The sequence below is a fragment of the Homo sapiens genome, chromosome 6 (assembly GCF_000001405.40).
Source record: "Homo sapiens chromosome 6, GRCh38.p14 Primary Assembly".
NCBI lineage: Eukaryota > Metazoa > Chordata > Mammalia > Primates > Hominidae > Homo > Homo sapiens.
The window spans coordinates 114,702,425-114,727,798 of record NC_000006.12 but is presented as its reverse complement, the minus strand read 5'-3'; the positions used below and the strand labels follow the sequence as shown (position 1 = coordinate 114,727,798).

Here is a 25,374-nt window from a genome sequence, read left to right as displayed (position 1 = left end):
TTGAAGGTTAATAGGCCTAACATAAGCCAGCCAAGGGACCCTTCTCTTCTGCCCACCTCATCTGGAACTTAGCCTTCTGATGCTTCTTTACCACTTGCTGTTTTAGTGTTTCCTTTATAACACTTAGCACAATTTGCAATTGTGTCTTTATTCATGTTTATTTGCTCAATGTCTGTCTTTGCCACTAGACTAAAAAAATCTGTGATCATAGACCATGCCTTTTGCACACTTCTACATTATAAAACATGATAGATATTTGAAAAAACACCTGACCGAAAAAAAAAAAAAAAAAGGCAATCTCTAAGGAGCCAAGCCACAACTGAGAGAGGCAGCTCACAGCCTCGGGTGGAGAGTTCATATAAGGTTAGCTGTCCGTATCAGTTCATTAAAATACTTGAAAAATGTATAGTTGAAATTTAGGATTGTAGTACATTTTTAAATGGGAATCTATGAGGCATCTATAATATCTTGATAACTTTACAAAGCGAAACATTTGAGCAACAGTTTTTACAATTGTTCTAAAATAATTTTCAGAAAATTTACCTTCTAATAATCAACAAACATTTACTCAGAAACTATCTGGGTCTAGACACAGGGGAGCAGATTTCGCAGGAGGCCAGCTGAAGGTTCATTTTCCATACTGGGATCCTTCTCCTCTGCTCACCCTACCCATAATTACCTCCGGGTTCTCCTCTGCCACTCACCACTTTGCATCTTCTTGACACATGATACACATTTTGCATGAGGTATTGCAAGGGGAGTTGGGAAAATACGAGGTATTCTGGAATGCTACCTGATAATAAAATCTTTCCATGATGGTATAAAAGACAAATTATGTCATTCTGTTAATATTTGTATTTTAACAGTGGTGAGCTGTGGGCTGATGTAAATAGTCATTAGAACACAGGTTTAGAGACCAAAGATGCCTGGATTTGTAGCTTAGCTCCATTATTTAGTAATTGTATACCACTTAAGCAAGTTTCTTATGCTTTTTAAGAACAGTTTTTGTTAAAATAATGCATATTTCTTTTTTTAAGAACCAAGGAGGGGAGGAGCCAAGATGGCCGAATAGGAACAGCTCCTGTCTACAGCTTCCAGCGTGAGCGACGCAGAAGACGGGTGATTTCTGCATTTCCATCTGAGGTACCGGGTTCATTTCACTAGGGAGTCCCAGACAGTGGGCGCAGGTCAGTGGGTGCGTGCACCCTGCGCGAGCCGAAGCAGGGAGAGGCATTGCCTCACTTGGGAAGTACAAGGGGTCAGGGAGTTCCCTTTCTGAGTCAAAGAAAGGGGTGACCAACGGCACCTGGAAAATCGGGTCACTCCCACCCGAATACTGTGCTTTTCCGACAGGCTTAAAAAACGGCGCACCACGAGATTATATCCCGCACCTGGCTCGGAGGGTCCTACGCCCACGGAGTCTCACTGATTGCTAGCACAGCAGTCTGAGATCAAACTGCAAGGCAGCAGCGAGGTTGGGGGAAGGGAGCCCGCCATTGCCCAGGCTTGATTAGGTAAACAAAGCAGCCCGGAAGCTCGAACTGGGTGGAGCCCACCACAGCTCAAGGAGGCCTGCCTGCCTCTGTAGGCTCCACCTCTGGGGGCAGGGCACAGACAAACAAAAAGACAGCAGTAACCTCTGCAGACTTAAATGTCCCTGTCTGACAGCTTTGAAGAGAGCAGTGGTTCTCCCAGCACGCAGCTGGAGATCTGAGAACGGGCAGACTGCCTCCTCAAGTGGGTCCCTGACCCCTGACCCCTGGGCAGCCTAACTGGGAGGCACCCACCAGCAGGGGCACACTGACACCTCACACGGCAGGGTATTCCAACAGACCTGCAGCTGAGGGTCCTCTATGTTAGAAGGAAAACTAACAAACAGAAAGGACATCCACACCAAAAACCCATCTGTACATCACCATCATCAAAGACCAAAAGTAGATAAAACCACAAAGATGGGGAAAAAACAGAACAGAAAAACTGGAAACTCTAAAAAGCAGAGTGCCTCTCCTCCTCCAAAGGAACGCAGTTCCTCACCAGCAACGGAACAAAGCTGGATGGAGAATGACTTTGACGAGCTGAGAGAAGAAGGCTTCAGATGATCAAATTACTCTGAGCTACGGGAGGACATTCAAACCAAAGGCAAAGAAGTTGAAAACTTTGAAAAAAAATTAGAAGAATGTATAACTAGAATAACCAATACAGAGAAGTGCTTAAAGGAGCTGATGGAGCTGAAAACCAAGGCTCGAGAACTACGTGAAGAATGCAGAAGCCTCAGGAGCCAATGCAATCAACTGGAAGAAAGGGTATCAGCAATGGAAGATGAAATGAATGAAATGAAGTGAGAAGGGAAGTTTAGAGAAAAAAGAATAAAAAGAAATGAGCAAAGCCTCCAAGAAATATGGGACTATGTGAAAAGACCAAATCTACATCTGATTGGTGTACCTGAAAGTGATGGGGAGAATGGAACCAAGTTGGAAAACACTCTGCAGGATATTATCCAGGAGAACTTCCCCAATCTACCAAGGTAGGCCAACGTTCAGATTCAGGAAATACAGAGAACACCACAAAGATACTCCTCGAGAAGAGCAACTCCAAGACACATAATTCTCAGATTCACCAAAGTTGAAATGAAGGAAAAAATGTTAAGGGCAGCCAGAGAGAAAGGTCGGGTTACCCTCAAAGGGAAGCCCATCAGACTAACAGCGGATCTCTTGGCAGAAACCCTACAAGCCAGAAGAGAGTGGGGGCCAATATTCAACATTCTTAAAGAAAAGAATTTTCAACCTAGAATTTCATATCCAGCCAAACTAAGCTTCATAAGTGAAGGAGAAATAAAATCCTTTACACACAAGCAAATGCTGAGAGATTTTGTCACCACCATGCCTGCCTTACAAGAGCTCCTGAAGGAAGCACTAAACATGGAAAGGAACAACCAGTACCAGCTGCTGCAAAATCATGCCAAAATGTAAAGACCATCGAGACTAGGAAGAAACTGCATCAACTAACGAGTAAAATAACCAGCTAACAGCATAATGACAGGATCAAATTCACACACAACAATATTAACTTTAAATGTAAATGGACTAAATGCTCCAATTAAAAGACACAGACTGGCAAATTGGATAAAGAGTCAAGACCCATCAGTGTGCTGTATTCAGGAAACCCATCTCACATGCAGAGACACACATAGGCTCAAAATAAAAGGATGGAGGAAGATCTACCAAGCAAATGGAAAACAAAAAAAGGCAGGGGTTGCAATCCTAGTCTCTGATAAAACAGACTTTAAACCAACAAAGATCAAAAGAGACAAAGAAGGCCATTACATAATGGTAAAGGGATCAATTCAACAAGAAGAGCTAACTATCCTAAATAAATATGCACCCAATACAGAAGCACCAAGATTCATAAAGCAAGTCCTGAGTGACCTACAAAGAGACTTAGACTCCCACACATTAATAATGGGAGACTTTAACACCCCACTGTCAACATTAGACAGATCAACGAGACAGAAAGTCAACAAGGATACCCAGGAATTGAACTCAGCTCTGCACCAAGCGGACCTAATTGACATCTACAGAACTCTCCACCCCAAATCAACAGAATATACATTTTTTTCAGCACCACACCACACCTATTCCAAAATTGACCACATACTTGGAAGTAAAGCTCTCCTCAGCAAATGTAAAAGAACAGAAATTATAACAAACTGTCTCTCAGACCACAGTGCAATCAAACTAGAACTCAGGATTAAGAATCTCACTCAAAACTGCTCAACTACATGGAAACTGAACAACCTGCTCCTGAATGACTACTGGGTACATAACAAAATGAAGGCAGAAATAAAGATGTTCTTTGAAACCAACGAGAACAAAGATACAATATACCAGAATCTCTGGGACACATTCAAAGCAGTGTGTAGAGGGAAATTTATAGCACTAAATGCCCACAAGAGAAAGCAGGAAAGATCTAAAATTGACACCCTAACATCACAATTAAAAGAACTAGAGAAGCAAGAGCAAACACATTCAAAAGCTAGCAGAAGGCAAGAAATAACTAAGGTCAGAGCAGAACTGAAGGAAATAGAGACACAAAAAACCCTTCAAAAAATTAATGAATCCAGGATGTGGTTTTTTGAAAAGATCAACAAAATTGATAGACCGCTAACAAGACTAATAAAGAAGAAAACAGAGAAGAATCAAATAGACGCAATAAAAAATGATAAAGGGGATATCACCACCGATCCCACAGAAATACAAACTACCATCAGAGAATACTATAAACACCTCTACTCAAATAAACTACAAAATCTAGAAGAAATGGATAAATTCCTCGACACATACACCCTCCCAAGACTAAACCAGGAAGAAGTTGAATCTCTGAATAGACCAATAACAGGATCTGAAATTGAGGCAATAATTAACAGCTTACCAACCAAAAAAAGTCGAGGACCAGATGGATTCACAGCCGAATTCTACCAGAGGTACAGGAGGAGCTGGTATCATTCCTTCTGAAACTATTCCAATCAATAGAAAAACAGGGAATCCTCCCTAACTCATTTTATGAGGCTGGCATCATCCTGATACCAAAGCCTGGCAGAGACACAACGAAAAAAAGAGAATTTTGGACCAATATCCCTGAAGAACATCGATGCAAAAATCCTCAATAAAATACTGGCAAACCAAATCCAGCAGCACATCAAAAAGCTTATCCACCATGATCAAGTGGGCTTCATCTCTGGGATGCAAGGCTGGTTCAACATACACAAATCAATAAACGTAATCCGGCACATAAAGAGAACCAATGACAAAAACCACATGATTATCTCAATAGATGCAGAAAAGGCCTTTGACAAAATTCAACAACGCTTCATGCTAAAAACTCAATAAATTAGGTATTGATGGGACGTATCTCAAAATAATAAGAGCTATCTATGACAAACCCACAGCCAATATCATACTGAATGGGCAAAAACTGGAAGCATTCCCTTTGAAAACTGGCACAAGACAGGGATGCCCTCTCTCACCATTCCCATTCAACATAGTGTTGGAAGTTCTGGCCAGGGCAATCAGGCAGGAGAAGGAAATAAAGGGTATCCAATTAGGAAAAGAGGAAGTCAAATTGTCCCTGTTTGCAGATGACATGATTGTATATCTAGAAAACACCATCATCTCAGCCCAAAATCTCCTTAAGCTGATAGGCAACTTCAGCAAAGTCTCAGGATACAAAATCAATGTACAAAAATCACAGGCATTCTTATACACCAATAACAGACAAACAGAGAGTCAAATCATGAGTGAACTTCCATTCACAATCGCTTCAAAGAGAAAAAAATACCTAGGAATCCAACTTACAAGGGACGTGAAGGACCTCTTCAAGGAGAACTACAAACCACTGCTCAAGGAAATAAAAGAGGATACAAACAAATGGAAGAACATTCCATGCTCATGGATAGGAAGAATCAATATCGTGAAAATGGCCATACTGCCCAAGGTAATTTATAGATTCAATGCCACCCCCATCAAGCTACCAATGACTTTCTTCACAGAATTGGAAAAAAAACTTTAAAGTTCATATGGAACAAAAATGAGCCCGCATTGTCAAGTCAATCCTAAGCCAAAAGAACAAAGCTGGAGGCATCACGCTACCTGACTTCAAACTATACTACAAGGCTACAGTAACCAAAACAGCATGGTACTGGTACCAAAACAGAGATATAGACCAAAGGAACAGAACAGAGCCCTCAGAAATAATGCCACATATCTACAACTATCTGATCTTTGACAAACCTGACAAAAACAAGCAATGGGGAAAGGATTCCCTATTTCATAAATGGTTCTGTGAAAACTGGCTAGCCATATGTAGAAAGCTGAAACTGGATCCCTTCCTTACAACCTTATACAAAAATTAATTCAAGATGGATTAAAGACTTAAACGTTAGAACTAAAACCATAAAAACCCTAGAAGAAAACCTAGGCAATACCATTCAGGACATAGGCATGGGCAAGGTCTTCATGTCTAAAACACCAAAAGCAATGGCAACAAAAGCCAAAATTGATAAATGCGATCTAATTTAAACTAAAGAGCTTCTGTACAGCAAAAGAAACTACCATCAGAGTGAACAGGCAACCTACAGAATGGGAGAAAATTTTTGCAATCTACTCATCTGATAAAGGTCTAATATCCAGAATCTACAATGAACTCAAACAAATTTACAAGAAAAAAACAAACAACCCCATCAAAAAGTGGGTGAAGGATATGAACAGACACTTCTCAAAAGAAGACATTTATGCTGCCAAAAGACACATGAAAAAATGCTCATCATCACTGGCCATCAAAGAAATTGAAATCAAAACCACAATGAGATACCATCTCACCCCATTTAGAATGGCGATCATTAAAAAGTCAGGAAACAACAGGTGCTGGAGAGGATGTGGAGAAATAGGAACACTTCTACACTGTTGGTGGGACTGTAAACTAGTTCAACCATTGTGGAAGTCAGTGTGGCAATTCCTCAGGGATCTAGAACTAGAAATACCATTTGACCCAGCCATCCCATTACTAGGTATATACCCAAAGGATTATAAATCATGCTGCTATAAAGACACATGCACATGTATGTTTATTGCGGCACTATTCACAATAGCAAAGACTTGGAACCAACCCAAATGTCCAACAGTGATAGACTGGATTAAGAAAATGTGGCACATATACACCATGGAATACTATGCAGCCATAAAAAATGATGAGTTCATGTCCTTTGTAGGGACATGGATGAAGCTGGAAACCATCATTCTCAGCAAAGTATCGCAAGGACAAAAAACCAAACACCGCATATTCTCACTCATAAGTGGGAATTGAACAATGAGATCACATGGACACAGGAAGGGGAATATCACACTCTGGGGACTGTTGTGGGGTGGGGGGCGGGGGGAGGGATAGCATCGGGAGATATACCTAATGATAGATGATGAGTTAGTGGGTGCAGTGCACCAGCATGGCACATGTATACATATGTAACTAACCTGCACAATGTGCACATGTACCCTAAAACTTAAAGTATAATAAAAAATAAAAAAATAAAAAAAAAAAGAACCAAGGATATAATGTTTGTAAAATATCTAAAAGTGTCGGGCACATTATTAGTTCTCAAGTAATGATAATGGCATGACGATGGTGATACTGGTGATAATAACAAGTATTTAAGTCACCTCCATATTCTGTATATCTTAAAGAAATCTTGTATCTTGAAGAAATGTGTTATGAGGCTGGGCGCAGGGGCTCATGCCTGTAATCCCAGCACTCTGGGAGGCCAAGGCCAGCAGATTACGAGGGCAGGAGTTCAAGACCAGCCTGGTCAACATGGTGAAACCCTGTCTCTACCAAAAATACAGAAATTAGCTGGGCATGGTGGCAGGCACCTGTAATCCCAGCTACTAGGGAGGCTGAGGCAGGAGAATTGCTTGAATCCGGGAGGTGGGGGTTGCAGTGAGCCGAGATCGTACCACCACACTCCAGCCTGGGCGACAGAGCAAGACTCCATCTCAAAAAAAAAAAAGGAAAAGAAATGTGTTATAAACACACCCCTCAGTCTTTAATATTAAATTTGGTAGGAAAACATATACATATACTACCCTCTAATAGCTTTTGAAATTATCATTCTCTTGCACCTGTTTTTCTCTCATCAGTAGCCTCTTTTGTTGTTGTTGTTTCTTTGGAAGAGTCTACATTATTCTTGATTCAGGGTAGGATAGGGCAAGGTGATATCCAGGAAAGATGCCCAATGTCAGAACTGTCAATCCAAGATTTCTCTGGAGATTGGTATTCCAGTCCTAGCTCTACTACCAGTTAATGATATGACCTTGGGCAAGCGACAACCTATCTGGCCTTAGCTCCCTTATTTATAAAATGAAAGGATTGGCAAAGATCCTTTTCTAAAGCTCCTTCCAGTTCTACAAGGACTATGATTAGTGCCTGTCACTCTCAGCAGCATCTTACTGCCATAGCTAATAAGGTCACCTATGGTCAAAGTTTATAAATGCATCATTTTGCAGAGGTGTTACAGTTCTTTATTGATGTTCTTCAGATCATTTTGGACAAATGCTGTTAGTAGAAATGCTCTCCTTAAAAATGTACCAGGTAATAAACTTGTAGTTTAACCCACACATTCATTAACGAGTGATTCCCAGGAGTTCAATAACAATATTTCTTTAGGCATACTCCCTAGCTTTGCAGATACCACACAGTTAATCCTGACATCAATGGCCATCACAAGCCTCATCAACTACTATTATTGGTGATCACAACAGACTCACATGTTTTTTAGGATATCCAGATATCATGTATCTTTCAAAAAAATAAAAACAAGACAAATAAAGTAGCTCTTTATATAATTTCTATGCTTTATTTATTTTTATTAAGAGTATTTAAAAGTGGGGTGCCTTAATCTTTGCATTTAATTTTGCTGGTTGCATTTTAAAATGTTATGTCATTTGTTCAATTAGTTTTTACTCAGAATTTTTTGTTGTTCATTTATCTTCCAGAATTATCTTTCTAACCCTTTATTAACTTAATCTCAGTTGGTCTCAACAAGATTTTTAAAAAATTAAAACCATTCAGTAACCTTCTTTATAAGGCAGATCTTTTCACAAGACTTGACTTCCTTCATCAGAGCCTTTAGAAATGCTTACTACACATGACATAATAGCCCCCTTGTTAAATATCCTGAATAGACAGCATAATTAAATTAAAAGTTGGAGGCCTATTCCTCCATTTTGTGGTTCTGGTAGCTGGATTAGAGTATTTACATTAGTACTTTAATCCTTTAATCTAGGAATCAATGTATGACCCGAGGCAATAAGTTAACAGCTTGCCAAAACTAAGCCTGGGCAGATGGCAACATTGATCCAGATTTCCATTTTTCAAGACCCCTGGAACTATCTAGTGCAAAAGCTGGACCAACAGTCACAAAAGCATCAGGGGCTGCCCACAGCAGATCACTGACCCTGTGGCATCCCATTTACTTTCTCTCTCACCTCAAGGCACAGAGTTTCTTGCCTTTTCTGTAATAATTATACGTTTAATTAAAAATTCTGTTTTATCTGGGATACTATGAATCAAGACAAATTATATTTCTATTTAATTCACTCATCATTACAAATCTGCCTTCTTCCTTCTCGATGCCAGTAACATATCCCTGTAACTCTTTGCAAGATTTTTCTTTCTTTCTTTTTAAATTCTGCCTTGTTTACTTGTCATTATGCATTCTTTGGAGCTCTTGAGAAAATTTTGTGGGTTTTTTTTTCTTTTTTTTGAGAAAAATTTCCAAAACATCTTAAGAATTTAAGTTTTTCTTTGTAGGTAAAACCTTCAGGGCCTTGCTTTCACAGCAGATGGCAACAGAATGCAAACAACACAACGTTTCATTCAGTTACAGTTTCCACGTTCAAAGCAGCAATATGGTTTCTGGGAGGCACTCAGACGAATGAGTTGAATCACTCTGCTATTTTGAATTTTTGTACTCCTTAGCCAAGAGCACACTTCCTCATGTGTTTGCCTTGTTCATTTATGTTCTTTACCTCTTTTTCCTGTAACTCACAACCTAAAAGGCTTATTCTTTTTATTCTGCCCAATTTATTTTTTTTTTCTTGTAAAGACAGGGTCTTGTTATGTTGCCCAGGCTGGTTTTGAACTCCTGGCCTGAAGTTATCTTCCTACCTTGGCCTTCCAAAGTGCTGAGATTACAGGCAAAAGCCTGGCCTTACCTCCCCCATTTTTATCTTGCAGATTGTGTTTTCTCCCAACAACCATTTGATGGTGACTATTTATAGCTTCTGTATCATCAATTGCGTAGATCCCACTCAGTCTAGTTCTTTCATTTCCCCTAGTCCTTTAAAAATTGCAACAACTGACTTAGTTGCTTTACTTATTTCATTCTTACATTGAACACACATAGCCCTATCAGTTCTCTTGCCAATTCATAACCCTGCTCAAAATCCAACTTCCCCCAAATTATCTAAGTTTATTTTCCACTATTCCCCAACATGCAATCTCCATTCAGATTTGCCTTGTCTTTTTTTCATAGCTCACTCAGTGTTTGTTTCTACTTCTACCACTTGCCCTGCCTGTAACACCTTGTTCTTTAGGGACAACTTGAAATTTCATCAGCCTCAATACTCTTGAAGTCATTCTGCCTACAGCAGCTCGTATACCTCAATCTACTCTGTCCCTCCCCAGTACTTCAATCAGGCCTTTCAATTTAGCATACATTAAATGGACTTTTGTACTATTTCAACCAGATAGCTAGCTCTCTGCCCCCAGACACCTTCTGAAGAAACTTCAATACCATCTACAACCATATGCAGTGCTTACCACATGGTAAATACTCTTTGATTGAACCATATCAGAGGAATCTTTGTACAGTATCTTTATCTACAATCTCAAGATATAAAAAAGCTTCCTAAAATTAATATCTCTGGTTTTTTTCAAATAAAAAAGTAACACAAAACTTATTGTACAAGATGTAGACAATAACAATCTATTACCCAAATACCCAGATATCTACCGTCAACATGGTGATATATTTCTTTTTAGTCTTTTGTAGACAGACAGAAAAGTCACTTATTTCTTTAATTATAAGAAAAATGTGTATATACATTTATTTTTCCCACTTAGTAGAAAATGCGGGTTTTTATAATATACAGCCTTCAGAAACATAATATGCAATCATCTAATTATTTTCACATTATTGAACATTTCGATTTAATCCAATATTGTAATGTTTTAATATTATGAATAATGCTTTTATGAAGATACTTCACATAAATTTGCATTTTTTATATCCTTAGAACAGATTCCTAAGGTATAATTGCTAGATCAAAGGGTAGGAATTAATTGAAGACATTTGATTGATATTACCAATGTGGCAGGGTTAAAGTGCCTTCTTGATTTCTTTTTATCTCATTATTCATTCTCTTATATAATTATATATATTCTTATACATAATTCATGTATTCTACAAACATTTGTTGAATAAGAGTAACTGCTGCTCACTGAGGAGATACAGAAGCTGATTTCACTCTGGGTCTGCTGTTGTTAAAATTAGAAATTCCTCCAGGATAAGGGTGGCAGGGTATCTGTCTGTGTTAGTTTTCAATGTTGAGTTTCTGCCTCAGGCCCTGCTAACCAGATACCATTTGAGAGAGAACATAATCTTTCATCTGATTTTCTTTTAGGATGTGTGCTTTTTTTCAAATAAGGTAGTTTTCTCGGCTTCACTCAAGTGACTTCCCAGAGCTTCATCACGGGTTCTTGGTTATTCCTTTTACCAGGTACAATTCTATAACCCTAATAAAAAGCAACTGGGTGGTATTTGCTCTTTTTCAAATCACTACTCCTCCATGCCATTTTATCAGAACCATTAAAATCCAAGTGAGAATGCCTCATACCTACGTTTTCATTCCTGAAGGCTCCAAAGAGTGTTACTTGGAATAACCTTTTTACTAAAAGTCACTGTACTTCTCTACATCCACTCCTAGACATTTCTCACTGGACTTAATAAGTTATAAAGAATAAGTTTAATTTCTCCACTGACCTAACGATCACACTTGAACTCTTATTTCTGGAAATTAAATTACCTACAAATATTTCCCTTCAGCTTATCCTAATGAAATATGATGAACCCCACCATTTTACTCTGTGACGGTATCTCATCCAGAGTATTCTAAAATTTTACCTCATCAAAACTGCAAATGCCCATATATGACTTTTTTATAGGCAGCAGAAGTCAGAAGGCTAGGCAAGTAAGCCAACAGGAGCAGGAAATTAACAGATGAGTTGTCTCTAACCCTCACGTAGAAAACTTTTTATCTTTTATCCTAGTTTTACATTTTTGGCAACAAGAAAAGAAACACTTTTCTGAGGATGTTATTTGCCCTAGTTTATATCCAACAAGAAATATAGGGTATAGATTCTAACACTTTGAATAAAGCTGCAAAGGTTTTATTCACACTCACCTTCTTTTTCTTTTCTTTCAGAGACTGTTGAGAAAATAACAAAAAATGGGATGCATTTTTTTCTTTCTTCCATGCTGTCCTTGTACCCTGTCTACCCCAACTTGTCTTCCACTGACAGAGTTGCAAAGGAAGCTGAAATAGGAAAGCCAGGGTTGAGTGAACTGACCTAATACAGATCTCCTGATAGTGGTTACCAGAATCTAAATTTCTACAGAAATGGTGAGCTTAAGTAAACCTGGTCCTTATTCAGCGACACCTGAGAGAATCTATTTCAATTAGATGGGCAGAGCAACTAACAGAGGCAATGATTCTCAGCTGTGGCAATACATGAGGATCACCTGGGGAGCTTTCGAAACTACCTATATCCAAGTGATTCTGATTAACTTTCCTGGACTGGGGGCTGAGGTATCTGCATTGGTTTTTAAATGCCCCAGGTGTTTTTAATGTGAAGCCAGAGTGGAGAACCACTGAGCTGGAATTTCCCCACAGTGGTAATTCTCACTTTCACGCAGCAGGCTACAAAGGGGTTTTTGGTAAAGTGTTCATTTCTTACAGAGCCTCAAAAAGCATGTCAGGGAATAATGTCTTGTGTATTCTCCTAAGAGGAAGGACCCACAAAAGACGAGAGATAGGCTGAAAGTCAGAGCCTCTGTAAGCTTGCTGAACTTCTCAACAATGTGTCAACCTTATCAGAGAAAAGTAAAGTTCTCATCAGAAACCAAAACAGAAGTATAGGCAAGAGGACTTGACTAATACAGTGTCAAGAAGGGTGGCATGTGAGATGCACACATAGAGCTTCCCCAAGACACAGAAGACCCTACACCATTTATTCTAGCTTCTCCACAGTTGAGGATGAGTATGCTATATAGCCCTCACTCTGGTCAGAATGAGTAAGGTATTTTAGTGAAGGAGACTTTTTAAGGGCAGTGTATTGCAGACCTCAATTTATCAAAGCTGAGGAAATCTAAGCTTGAAGTTCTGTAGCTTCTTTATAATGGCTCTCTATTACAATAGTGCCATTTGATTGGAAGTGTGAAATTGAATCAACTTCAAAGTTTACTTTAAAATATAGCATATCTTATACATATGAAACTATCCTAGATTTTATTCTGATGACCCAATTGTCTGTCAGTCTAAGCTGTATCTTCTCTATGAACACTCCAGGAAAAGGAAAATCAAAATTGATCAGGATAACCAGAAAATAAAAACTAGAAGCAGAAGAAAACTGGATGAAGAGAGAGGAAATCAGCATTTTAGGTGAAATGGATAAACAGAAACATCAAATTTATCTGGCTTCTAGATCAGCTTCTTGCCCCTACCCTAGAAGACAGACCAGGAGGACATACCTGAGTTAAGTGCAAAGTGAAGATGGCCTTTGTTCTGCCTCTTTCTGTGATTTTCTTTTGCCTTTTATTTCCCTACTCTTGCTTCTTTTCTCTGACCTTTTCCTCTTTCATATGATTTTCATCCTTAATTTCACCTCAGAATCGCCTGATCTGCAATATGATTATGTTAAGTTTGTTCAACTTCTTTAAATCATTCAGCGACAGTTTCAGATTTGCATTTCTATTTCTGGAGTTCAGAGGGAGTATTTTCAAATTTCCTCCATTGTTCCTGAGAACTACCTTTATCTTATCACATTTCTAATCAAACTTTAGTCTTAAAATACCTGTCATTTCTCTCAGATTTTGGAAGTTTTTCTTGCTCTAGGAGAAGTTTTTGAAGAGTTTTTTTTTTCACTTCAAAAAAAAAAAAAACCATAGTCTGAGAAGATGATTTGACTTATCCTATGAGTTTATTCTGTTAATTTTAGTCATCAAAGACAATTTTTGCATGGTTTTCTCTCTCACACACACAGTCTCTCTCTCTCTCTCTCTCTCTCTCTCTGTCTCTCTCTCTCTCACTCTCGTTGGTAAGGTTTAAGTCTATTAATCACAGGAAGGTTTTAAATAACTGACCAGGACCTTTGAATGAATTCAGCGACACACATTTATGAGTCTTTAGATTAGTGTTTGGTATCAATTTGACTGGTATCAGCAACTTTTGGAAGGTCACATTTGACTATCCTACAGCTTCTCAGATTTTTCAGGGGTATCATCCAAGAAGGGAAGCTGAATGCATGCTGGGGACACTCCCTTGATCTGGATATTTTTATCCCTCCATAATTGCCAGGTAGGCTCTTACCTGCTACTCACCCTCCCACCCTGTCTCCACTGACTGAGAGACTAAGTTGCTGGCCCCTCAACTCCTAAAGGGAAATTCTCCCTATCCCCAGCCATAGAAAGGGCCCATACAAAGGTCTGGCCTATTACCCAGGTGTCCGACCTCAGTATCCATCTTATTGCCCTCTCAGCACTGCAGCTTCTTTGTAGGACTGACACTCTGCCCTCCTGATTGTCTTGTACCCCACATCTGTCTACCAGCAAGGGCTCTGCCATAAAGGAACAGTGAAAACTAAAGGGAGGAAATATAATTTGGCTTTTGTCACCTCCTTAGCAAGCCTCCCTTGACTACCCTAAAAGAGCCCCTTCAGTACTGATATACTAGCCCAGAATTGTGTGTGTGTGTGTGTGTGAGTGTGTGTGTGTATATGAGATATGGTTTAGATGTGTCCCTACTCAAATCTCATCTTGAATTGTAGCTCCCATAATCCCCACTTGTCATGAGAGGGACCTGATAGGAGGTAATTGAATCACGGGGGTGGGTTTTTCCCATGCTTTTCTCGTGGTGAATACGTCTCATGAGATCTAATGGTTTTATAAAGGGTAGTTCCCCTGCACATGCTCTCTTGCCTGCTGCCATGTTAGACATGCCTTTGCTCCTCTTTTGCCTTCTTCCATGATTGTGAGGCCTCCCAAACCATGTGTAACTGTGAGTCCATTAAACCTCTTTTTCTTTATAAATTACCCAGTCTCAGGTATTTGTTCATAGCAGTATGAGAATGGACTAATACTGTATGTGAGTGTGTGTGTATGTATGTTTTTCCTTATAACACTTGTAACACTTAGAGTCATGATATTTGTTTGTCCTGAAATGTGGATTTTGTCTTGTCTTCATGGACTGCCTGTCCCTTTATCTGACTGAAATTTAGATATTTCATTATCAAAATCTAAGACAGTGTTGTGAACATATACTGAAGCACTGAATAAATGTTAATTAAATGAAAAAAGGGACTATAACTGATAGGCTAAATATTTTCATGCCATGATCTGTGCTGCCCTCCTCAAAACTAGCAAATCATCCTCATTCTTACTGAGAGTCTCAATAGGAACCTAGTCTAACATGAACCCAGACATTGCAAATGATTCTCACTTCTCTGATTCTAGCACCTGTCCTGAGCACCTGCTATAAAATCTCACTATCTCTTCTCAAGTGAACACATGATTACAGAATCAGAAGTCAATTTTACGCATTACAGATTCTGTAATTGTTACCAAGATACAACTCAAATAGAGAATGTGCTTAGGTAGCATCATGTTCCTATCACACACCAGCAGCTGTCCTGTCCTTGGTCTGACTAAATGCATGCACTGAAGCTCTTCAGCCAGCATATACTCAATACTAATTAATACTTCAACTCATTACTAACTAAGGCTGGCCATATATCAGCAGCTCTAGTTCCTCAGTGCTTGAGGTCTAGATTTACCCACTGCTACCCTCATTGTGGCATCTAGTAGATCTAGGACAAGCCAATATTAATTTGTATGCTTACTTGGCTGTAGCCTTTCTTTCTGACTTCCTGTGTATAAAATATATATAACCAGATATTCATCTTGATTTCTGATGTATCCTCGAGTTTTCTCAGTTGAAACTAAAGCATTTCACTAAACCTTGGGTCATTTGACTTGACTAGAACCCTGACAAGCCATCCAGTTCTTTCCAGAACTCATCTGCAGGAGCAAGACCATACTTCTCCCTATAGCTGCAGGCTCCGAACATAACCCACAATGCCACTGCCACCTGACAATCCTGGCACTGCCTGTTGCTGCTCACCCTTCACCTCAGCAGAGCCCATGTGCATGCATTGGCTCAGGTCAGGCCAAGGATGCCAGAGACATTCAGCTTTGTGGTTTGGATTGTAAGCTTTCAGTCCTCAGAAATGAGACCTGGAACCAGGAGAGGGCCCTGGCTCTTGTCGCACCTGTCCTCTGATTATGGTGTCTCTCAAAAATTCCATCAGGTTCTGGTAGGCTGTGAGGGCTTTGGATTATAAATGTGCCCCTCAAACACCACTGGTATTCTGAGCACTTCTTGCCAATTCCATGTAGGCATTTTGGGTCTCAGTGGAAGAAAACTCCTATTAAGAAATTCTTAATTTAAAACCTTTCTTAAATCCTTGTCTTCCCAAGTTATAAGCCCGTCTCTCTCACTTCTGAGGCCTTAAAGAAGCCCACTTTTATCTAGTCTAGCTCCCAGGTTCCTGAATACACCCCTACTGTCTCATTGATGTGATAGGGCTAAGTCTCAGCTAGCCTTCATAGCCCAGTGGGACTAGATCTAGCAGATCTTATGAGAACAAATTACTGACTAAACTCCTAGATTTGTTGTTTGTATATCCCACTGAATCTGTCCAAAGCAACTTTAGCGAAGTGACTTCTAGGTCTCTATTTAGAAAACTATACATAAGTCGGTAAAGGCAGCTGACCGCAGCTCAAAACAGCTCCAAGAGATGTGTATTTAAATGACTGAAAATAGAATACCAGAAGCTCCACTCATGAATCAGGCAGAGGAGGAACATCATGAAAAACAGTTGAAAAATATGACCCCTCTTCCATGAAAAACCATTAAGCTTACAGACACACAAAAGTATGTCTACAATTTGAGGGACTCGCAGACACCTAAAACTCATTCATGGACCTCAGGTTAACAACTGCTAAAATAAGATCCACCAGAGATTGTTAATCAGCTCATGTAAAGATTTGAGTGAGTAATGACAGTTCTGCATTATTTTCTTTTATGCTTTAAGGATACACGTTTTTTTATAAAATAAGTTAACAGTATCTAAAGACAATGTTAAGACAAGACTACATTTGACTCTTGGACAACACAGGTTTGAACTGTGTGGGTCCACTTACACATGGACTTTTTCGACAAATTGAAAATAAAGTATTCATAGGATGTAAAACCCAATTAGATGATGGGTCAAGTTTTTCCATTTGTGGGTTTCACAGAACTGACTGTGGGACTTAAGTATGCTCAGATTTTGGTATATGCGGAGGTCCCCATATAATTGGGGGGGTATATGGTACCAAGGGAAGATTTTATAATAATCTAGTGTCTTCATACTCAGAGCCTGAGAAGTACAAAATATTAGGTCCTGATTCAGACCTACTAAATCAGAATCTGAAACTTTAACAAGGTCTTCAGGTGATGTAGGTACACATTAAAATAGAAACATTTATCTAGCAAATATGAGGGAAATACTGGCTGTCTCTAAACACAGAGTAATGTTATTTGGCCGGCATTGAAAGTTAATCTTGTCTTTGTCTACTTAGCAAGCTTCTATCTATCCTTGAAAACCCTACTCAAACATTACCTCACATGAAGGCTTTCCGGCACTTGCCTCCAACCCAAGAAAAAATAATTTACTCCCATTCTCTTGTTAGCTGATTTTATTGTATTTTATACATGTTATTTATATTAAAAGTTATTTAATAAATATATCAATTATGTAAGTTCCTCTGTAGTTAACATTATGAGCACACAGGTCATAAAATTGCAACAGGTCATACTTTTGAACACTCTGTGACAATGTTCTGAGCGATTATAAATGTATTAACTTATTAAATCCTCAAAAGCCTTACGAGGTGGATGCTAGTAAACTGTGAGACAGAGAATGAATTAGTATTTGGAAAATGCCGTGGTTCACAACTAATCTGGTTTGAATTTTTTTAAGTTTTGAAATTATATGTAGAATAGAAACAGGCCATCTATTCAATAGTTTCCAAAGTTTCATGTTTCTATGGAGCATTAAGCATACAGTTTCTTTGAAACCTCATTTCTACATTTAACAAGGGGTTATTTTCTATTTTATAGTAAATAAAGGGGTTGATCTTTAAATTGTTAGCAGGAATAATACCAGAATCTCCAAGATCATCTCTAAAATGTTGCTTCTCTAAGGTACAGTACTCTACGGTAAGCGGCTACATGTAGGACACATCTCCAAGTAAGAGGTTGACTATGGTCTCTCCAGCCTATCTGGTGTGCTGAAACGCACTTGGCTGTTTTATTAATTCTCTTCTCTTCACTAGTTAGAGTTCCATACAGAAGAAAAATAAACAATAAGCAAGTCCAATGTTGAAACAGCTCTCTCAGGTTTCTGCAAAGCATTGGATGGTGCTGCACTATTTGGTCTGATTGAAGCCAGGTAAGGGCCGTTTGGCTGTTACCTAGCAAGTGCCCGGCAGGGCTCTGCCGGAAGAGCATTATCAAGGTGGGGTCTCTAGGATCACCAAAGTATGCTTCTGGGTTCTGATACCCAGTAATTCTCTTGGAGAGGTTTTATGCAACTGGAATCTGATCCTTTAAATCGTCTTCACTACACACTTTATTTCAGAAGAATTAAAACACACATGCAAGTACATGGAGAAAGAATCAGGGGATGAAGGCAAGGTGAATTAAACAATAGAAGATAGAAGGTAAAGAAGAGACAAAAGTTAAAAAAAGTGAAAAGAAATTGTAATAGTCAATAGTCTAAGACTTGATTTCCAATATTTTCCAGTATTATTTTATGTAATTCTGCTTATCAAAATCATTATTTTGCAGAAGATTGTATGCTCCTATTTCTCAATGCCTGTCTAAATAAATACTTTAAAATAATAGGTGTCATAGTACTAAAAAAAGAAGCTACCTAATACAAGGCATACAATGGTCAATCTAGTGATCTAATAATAAGTGATTTAATACCAGGGGGAAAAATACTTTAAGTGGCCAGGAACTATGTTGCATTCAACTGTATTATGTAAGATAATAGAGTAACTGTATCAAATTTTTAAGCATTTGATCCATCAGCACTTTTTTACACTTAAAGAATTTGTCTGTCATTTATGAATTTTATACGACTTCTAGCATGACTTTGCTATCAGCAGCAAATCCAATGGGTCTGCAGCAAACTTGATCCTTGCCTCCTCAGAGGAAAGAATTTGGCTGAGGAGCAGGAGGAGATTTAAGGCAGAGGAAGAAATCAAGGCAAGTTTTAGACCAGGAATGAGTTTGTTAAAAAGTTTTAGAGCAGGAATGAAAGGATGTAAAGTACACTTGGAAGAAGCCAAGCTGGCAACTTGAAAGATCCAATTGTGCCATTCGGCCCTTGACTTGCAGTTTTGTACATTGGCCTGGTCCTGGGGTTTGCATTTTTTCTCCCTTGATTCTTCTCTTGGAGTGGGCTATCTGCACGTGCAGTGGCCTGGGAGGGGCCACATGCCCAGTGTGTTTACTGAAGTTGTGCACATGTTCACTTGAGGTGTTTTTCCCTTACCAGTCGAGTGTTCTAGAGGAAGGTCATAGGCCAGTTAAACTCGGCCACTTTGCCTCTTAGTGTGCATGCTTGGGACTGCTCATCCTGAGATTCTATCAGGAACTGCTAATCACCAGCTTCAGGTGTTTTCTTTGTATTGGGAGACTATTTTTCCCTAGCACTGGCTGTGACCAATTATTATTTTACAGAGACAGTTTAACAACCGCCTGACCATCAACTAACTGATCATTGCCTGACATTCTTGGTAGGGGGCCCTCTCCTGTTCTGCACACTTGTGCCTAGCTACCTACTCCAACAATTTTATAAATATTAAAAGAAAGCATACACAAATCATAGGTTGCTGAAATTTAGACACAACTGAAACACATATATGCTAGGTATAGTAGCAAAACAAAAAAGCAGAGATCAAAGTTCAGTAAAATATTCTACTGCAGTCTAGCACAAGTTAATTCACTGTTTCTAATTTGTCATTGACTATAGAATTACCCATTTAAGGTATTTTAATAAAATTTATGCCTTCTGTGTCTTTTACTCATTTCTACTACATGTTGAAGTATGAATTTTGGGGGGATTTGGGACCCTCAAATTTCCTTAATTTTCCACATCTGCAGTCTGCTGTTCATGCTGCTACTAACATGAACAGCAATGCTCATTCTGTCACTAAAAACAGCATCAATGCTAAGAAGCATTTTAGAACATTGATCCCTAGCAGTCTCATATAATCTAAAGCCACTATTTATTATCCATTATCAGCCATTGCTAGAAAAACATTTCCCGATCTCAAATTTCAGGCCATTATCTAACGGCTGAGGCTGCTGTTGCTGTTATTATAGAGTCAAATGCTTTCAGAATGAGACTCTATAATTGTACTGCAGGGGGAAATTCCACAGAAACTGCACTTGAGTTTTAAAAAACAGGGCGGATAAGGAGAGAAGGATTTTCTCTGAGAAAGCAGCCTTTCTAGAGTTCCTGGAACAGCATGGCTTCAATAGACCCTCCGAGCTTCTGTCTGAACAACCTCCATTGATTCCAGCTGCTGCCTAATTGGCCCATGACTGCGTATCACCCCTAAATGTATTGCATTTGTATCACCAGAGTAAACAAGCAATTCACTCTGCATAATCCCAATGCTAACTAAGGCTGCCTGGAAAGAAAATGCTCTTATCTAGTGTTTTATTCTTAGATTTCTGGATGCCTGTGGCCTGTTATACAATCTCTATCACTGAAGTCTCTGACAAGTGAAATCTTAACAGGCCTTGGTGGGATACCATACATTGCAGTTAGAAAATTTAATAATATTAAATAAATAATAATAGTTGAGCAGTAGCAATAAATACTTATAGCAAAGTCCATTGCACGGTGTGTAAAATCTTCAAAGAAATACTCATCTATCTGTATATATACATACACATATTCCTAAAGTTAGAATTTATCTTTTTTTAATCAAGAAAGTATGATTAAAAGCAAATTTTTCAGTTTATCTTGCTCTCTTGATAAACAAGATAAATTCTAATTTCAGGGACATGCCAATAATCTTTCTCTTTTCCACGTTTCTGGGGTGAATTTGCTCTAAATATTTAATTTTAGAAATAAAAGTTGTCGGCCTTTTAGGCTGAATTTCTTTTTCCCAGAAGAAAAAGAGAGGAAAATGAATTTATTTTATAATTGATCTGGGAGGGCTTTTTGCCATCCTTTTTGTTTGGATGGATGACTAGGATAACAGCTGCCATCTGCAATGCCAATGGTGAAGTAGAACTTAATTATCACCAGCTGGTTGATCAGGTTAGACTTGCTTAGTGAAGACCCAAAACAAGATCTAAATAAGGCAAACAAATTAAGTGAATAAGATTTAATAGTTTACCTTCCAGCAGCCATTTTCAAAGGATGTGTTAATTTTAGTAGAACTTTCCAAATCATACTTGGGTTAATTCATATAATCTTATTTAAAGGGAAAAAATGTGTGTCCGTATAATGTCTATATCATATGCATGACACTATAATACAGTTTAAACCTCTTTCTGATATAGCAATATTGGGAATAGATAACAGTGATCTATTACTTTATGAAAGCCACATTTTTGGGATTCATGAATCTCCTTTTCTTTTCCTAAATGCCCAGATGATGCTTTGGCTTGTTATTGTTGTTGTTTTTAAAGTTATTTTTTAATTAAGTAATTTTTGCCCTTCACCCCAAGATGTTTAACTCCAAGGAAACCATTGAAAAATACAATTTTTTTTTTTTACAAGTAAGGCTCCTAGAAAAATTTGGTGATCATGTTCTAATCATTTTCTGATGTGTACACAGAGAATCAGGTCATATAATGACCAGAGAACCTGGTCATAATCATCAGACTGATGACTGAGATGGACCCAGTCCTTCAGATTGCCTTTTGATTTTTATAAAGCTGAGCTAGATTTAAGATGTTGGCCTTGGAGGCCCAGAGTCCATGATGCTGCTTGTATGTTGAAGGTAGTACTGTTACACTGAGGGACAGAGTTTCATGGAAAGAAACAAAGGACCCCAACACTAATGGAAGGCAAGTTTATGAATTGAGAATCCTCAAAATGCAAGACACTGCTCTACCTAGCTAGGAGTTTTGAAGTTCAACAGTCAAGGATATCTTGGTTCCCACATCTCTAAAAGAGTATATGGTATTAAATAATAAGATCCATCCCACATCCCTCATCCTATAATTCAGACAATTATTATTTTATCTGAAATAACTTTATTCTACTAATTTATATTTGAATTTTTATTACCCTTATTGCTTCAACCTTCTTTTTTATCAGCAGCCATTCTTGTGTATCTTTTAAATGTTTAACAGAACCTTCATTTCTATTTTAAAAGACAAAGAGGAGATTTATGGTATTTTATGAGCAATAATATTTAATCTTAAACTGAAGAAGTTTATCTTTTGAATAAAAGATTAGACCCTCCCAGCATGCTTACAGCAAAATATAAGTCCCATTAGTGAAACCAGGTACAAGAACTCAGCTTTGTGACCTGAACACTTGTGTCTGCTGGATGCTCTGTGTAGCACTGAAGGATGATGGGTTACCACTAAGACAAGCAAGGGAAGACAGTAAGCATTATAAGTATTAGAGGATGCCTCGCCAAGCTCCAGAACCCACGGTTACAGAACTTAGGAATCAAAAATGATTGTGTTCTTATGTAGAGATTTTCCAATTGCCAGAGATTTATTTCATTATCTTTCTCTATCTTCAAAACTATTTAACTGAAGTGAAAAGCATGCAAATTAAAATCTCAAACATAATTAACCAGAAGATCTAGTGGAAAGCAGACAAGTCTTTAAATAATAAACCAAAATAAATAACAAGCATTTCATCAAAAAGTTGTAAGTTTCTTTGATGAAATGGGTTTGGTCTCTTTGTTGTAAAGACAAACAGAAAAAAAAAGTGCATAAATAAAGAAGACAAAGGCGATTAAACAAATTTTAATAAACACATTAAATTGTAAATAATATTAGTCAGCTTATAGTTTTCAAAGAAAGTACATAACATTATGAATTTTATTCTATTTTGTTGATGAGGCTACTTTAAGTAAAAACGACTGTTTTCATTATTCGGCTAAAAGTACCATTATAAAAAGCTGCTGTTAATTATGGAAGCTCTGAAATGGAGTAGATAAGTATGTAGAGAAGCTTTAATAATTGAAAGAATATTAATGAAGGGACCCAGCTGCTTCAAAAATTGGTAGTTCTGATCATAGGGATAAATGATGTTCAGGGTGAACAAAAAGATCTGAAGAATTAACATGGAATGTATAAGCCATTCTCTGAATTCTACTAAAGACTCAAGGAAGTCATATGCAAGGTTGTGGGCCCATGATAAGCATACTCTCTAGAATATATTCTTTTTGTTTCTCTTATGTTTTATACTTACATCCCAGGGTGGCTTTGCTCATTTAAAATACAGGAATATGTCAACAAATATTCAAACTCTTGTCATGGGTCCTTTGAAAAAGTTATGGATGTAATATGCTGTCTCCTGTGTTTTCTGAAAGCTGAAATGGTTTCATTATGACTCTATTTATGGCATAACAAAAGTAAGAGTTTCCATTGTTATTTAAAGCTTGACTAGGAGAGACAACATCATGGAAGAGATGTATCACACATTCACATCTTGGGAAGCTGATTTTAATGTTCTTTAGAAGTGTGATTTATTACACATTTTTGCTGGTCTGGTGAATTTAAGCTAAAAAAATCACTATATTTTTATACTATGAGAAAAGAAACAACAATAGGAAAAAAATAGGAAATGATGATTGAGAATTTCACCTTCAATTATAACAAGGAAGAAAAAATGAAAAAATGAAACACAAGTTCTTCATGAAGTATACAAAATCTACCAAGTGTGACTTAGAGTCTAAAATATGATATGACTCAGCAAACACATGTACACACAAAACATCTCCTGTAAATATTACAATTTGTTACATATTTTTGTCTATCGGGTTTAATCAGAATATAAAATTTCATAAAAGCTATAGCTCAACAGAACAAAATTACCATACTCCTAATTTTGCCAAACATAATTAACTTTGAATTGTGTGAATTAACAGTGCCTAACAAATTATCTTTCAGCTCTGAAATTAAATTCTTTCGTACCATTAGATTTGTTTGTTAAGCTCAAGTAGACAAAAGTAGTATTTAATAAAGTAATAATGGTGCTTTGCTGAGAGTGCTGTTGAGAAACATATAGATGTACTCAAAATAAATCAAAGAATTTCTATTAATAGCTAATCTGTGAATATCACAGCATCTACATAATATAATTAAGGGGAAAGTATGATGCTGTGACAGGGTACTATATTTTTATTACAGGAAGCCTTTATCTAATTGCCTCTTTAATTAGGTATATTATAGAGTTATTTTGTGGTTGTATACACGTAATATAAATATCTTTAATAGTATTTTAGATTCGCAGGTCTTTTTCTTTTAAAATCATACTATCACCTCCATTTAGAAAAAATAAATTTAAAAATCAAGATCATCTAAACTTCAGTTTACATAATCCATCTCAATAAATCTCTCCATTCTTTCCCAAAATATATTTAAAGTTAACGAACAAGAAAATGAGGAATATAATATTCAAACATTTTGTATAATAACAAGACTTGGAATTTGAAATACCCACCTATGCTGCAGAGCCTATCCATGTAAATTCTAATGTTTCATTAGACTGAAAGTTTAATACATCAAGAGTAGGGATGAGGACGTGCTTTTACTTCTTTCTGTAAAGAAAGAAACTTAGCTCATCTGTTTGATTAACTTTTCCTGCAGGGTATCATCTGAACACTATAAACCCAAATGAAGACTTCAAAGAGTCCTGTGGAATAACTTTGATTGACAGAAAAGACAAATGATTTAAAAACGAAGTCAAACAAAATTCTAGCAGATTCACTTTACTTGAATGCTAGCCTAATGCCGCTGCTTTCTCATTCCAAAGTGACTCCAAGATAATTTCCCAAGATCCAGGTACCCTGGCAAGCTTAAATATCTTAGGTTCTTCAGTGATATTTGAGTGTGGTTTGAGACTAAGTGTTTCATTAGGGAAAACAGAAAATGTTTAAATGGATGGTGTTTGGAACCTGATTTTAATCTTACGGGTTATGTTTCAATGCTACCTTACATTAAAACTTTCTGCAAATTCTGGTTATAAAATTGAACTGAAGAGATGACAAGAAGAACCTTTATCAGGAATTCTATCCTGCAGTAATGACTGTTACTACTGTGAGGCACATAGGTCTTCTTTCAAAAGTCATCTTACCTACCCTTACCTTTAGGAGGACTCAGGATATATGAATAATTTTTCTACTAAAAGAGATGGGTTTGTCCTTCTTCATTCCATACCATAGCCCCTTTC

The 25,374-nt window shown here is 37.8% G+C and overlaps 2 annotated features.

Annotated features, from left to right (window-relative positions):
* Positions 992-1,510: an enhancer, noted in NCBI's record as "H3K4me1 hESC enhancer chr6:115047453-115047971 (GRCh37/hg19 assembly coordinates)". NCBI's record gives its function as "activates a minimal SCP1, AML or CMV promoter by ChIP-STARR-seq in primed H9 embryonic stem cells {active_cell/tissue: H9 hESC(primed)}" and the evidence as "EXISTENCE:reporter gene assay evidence [ECO:0000049][PMID:30033119]".
* Positions 1,511-2,031: an enhancer, noted in NCBI's record as "H3K4me1 hESC enhancer chr6:115046932-115047452 (GRCh37/hg19 assembly coordinates)". NCBI's record gives its function as "activates a minimal SCP1, AML or CMV promoter by ChIP-STARR-seq in primed H9 embryonic stem cells {active_cell/tissue: H9 hESC(primed)}" and the evidence as "EXISTENCE:reporter gene assay evidence [ECO:0000049][PMID:30033119]".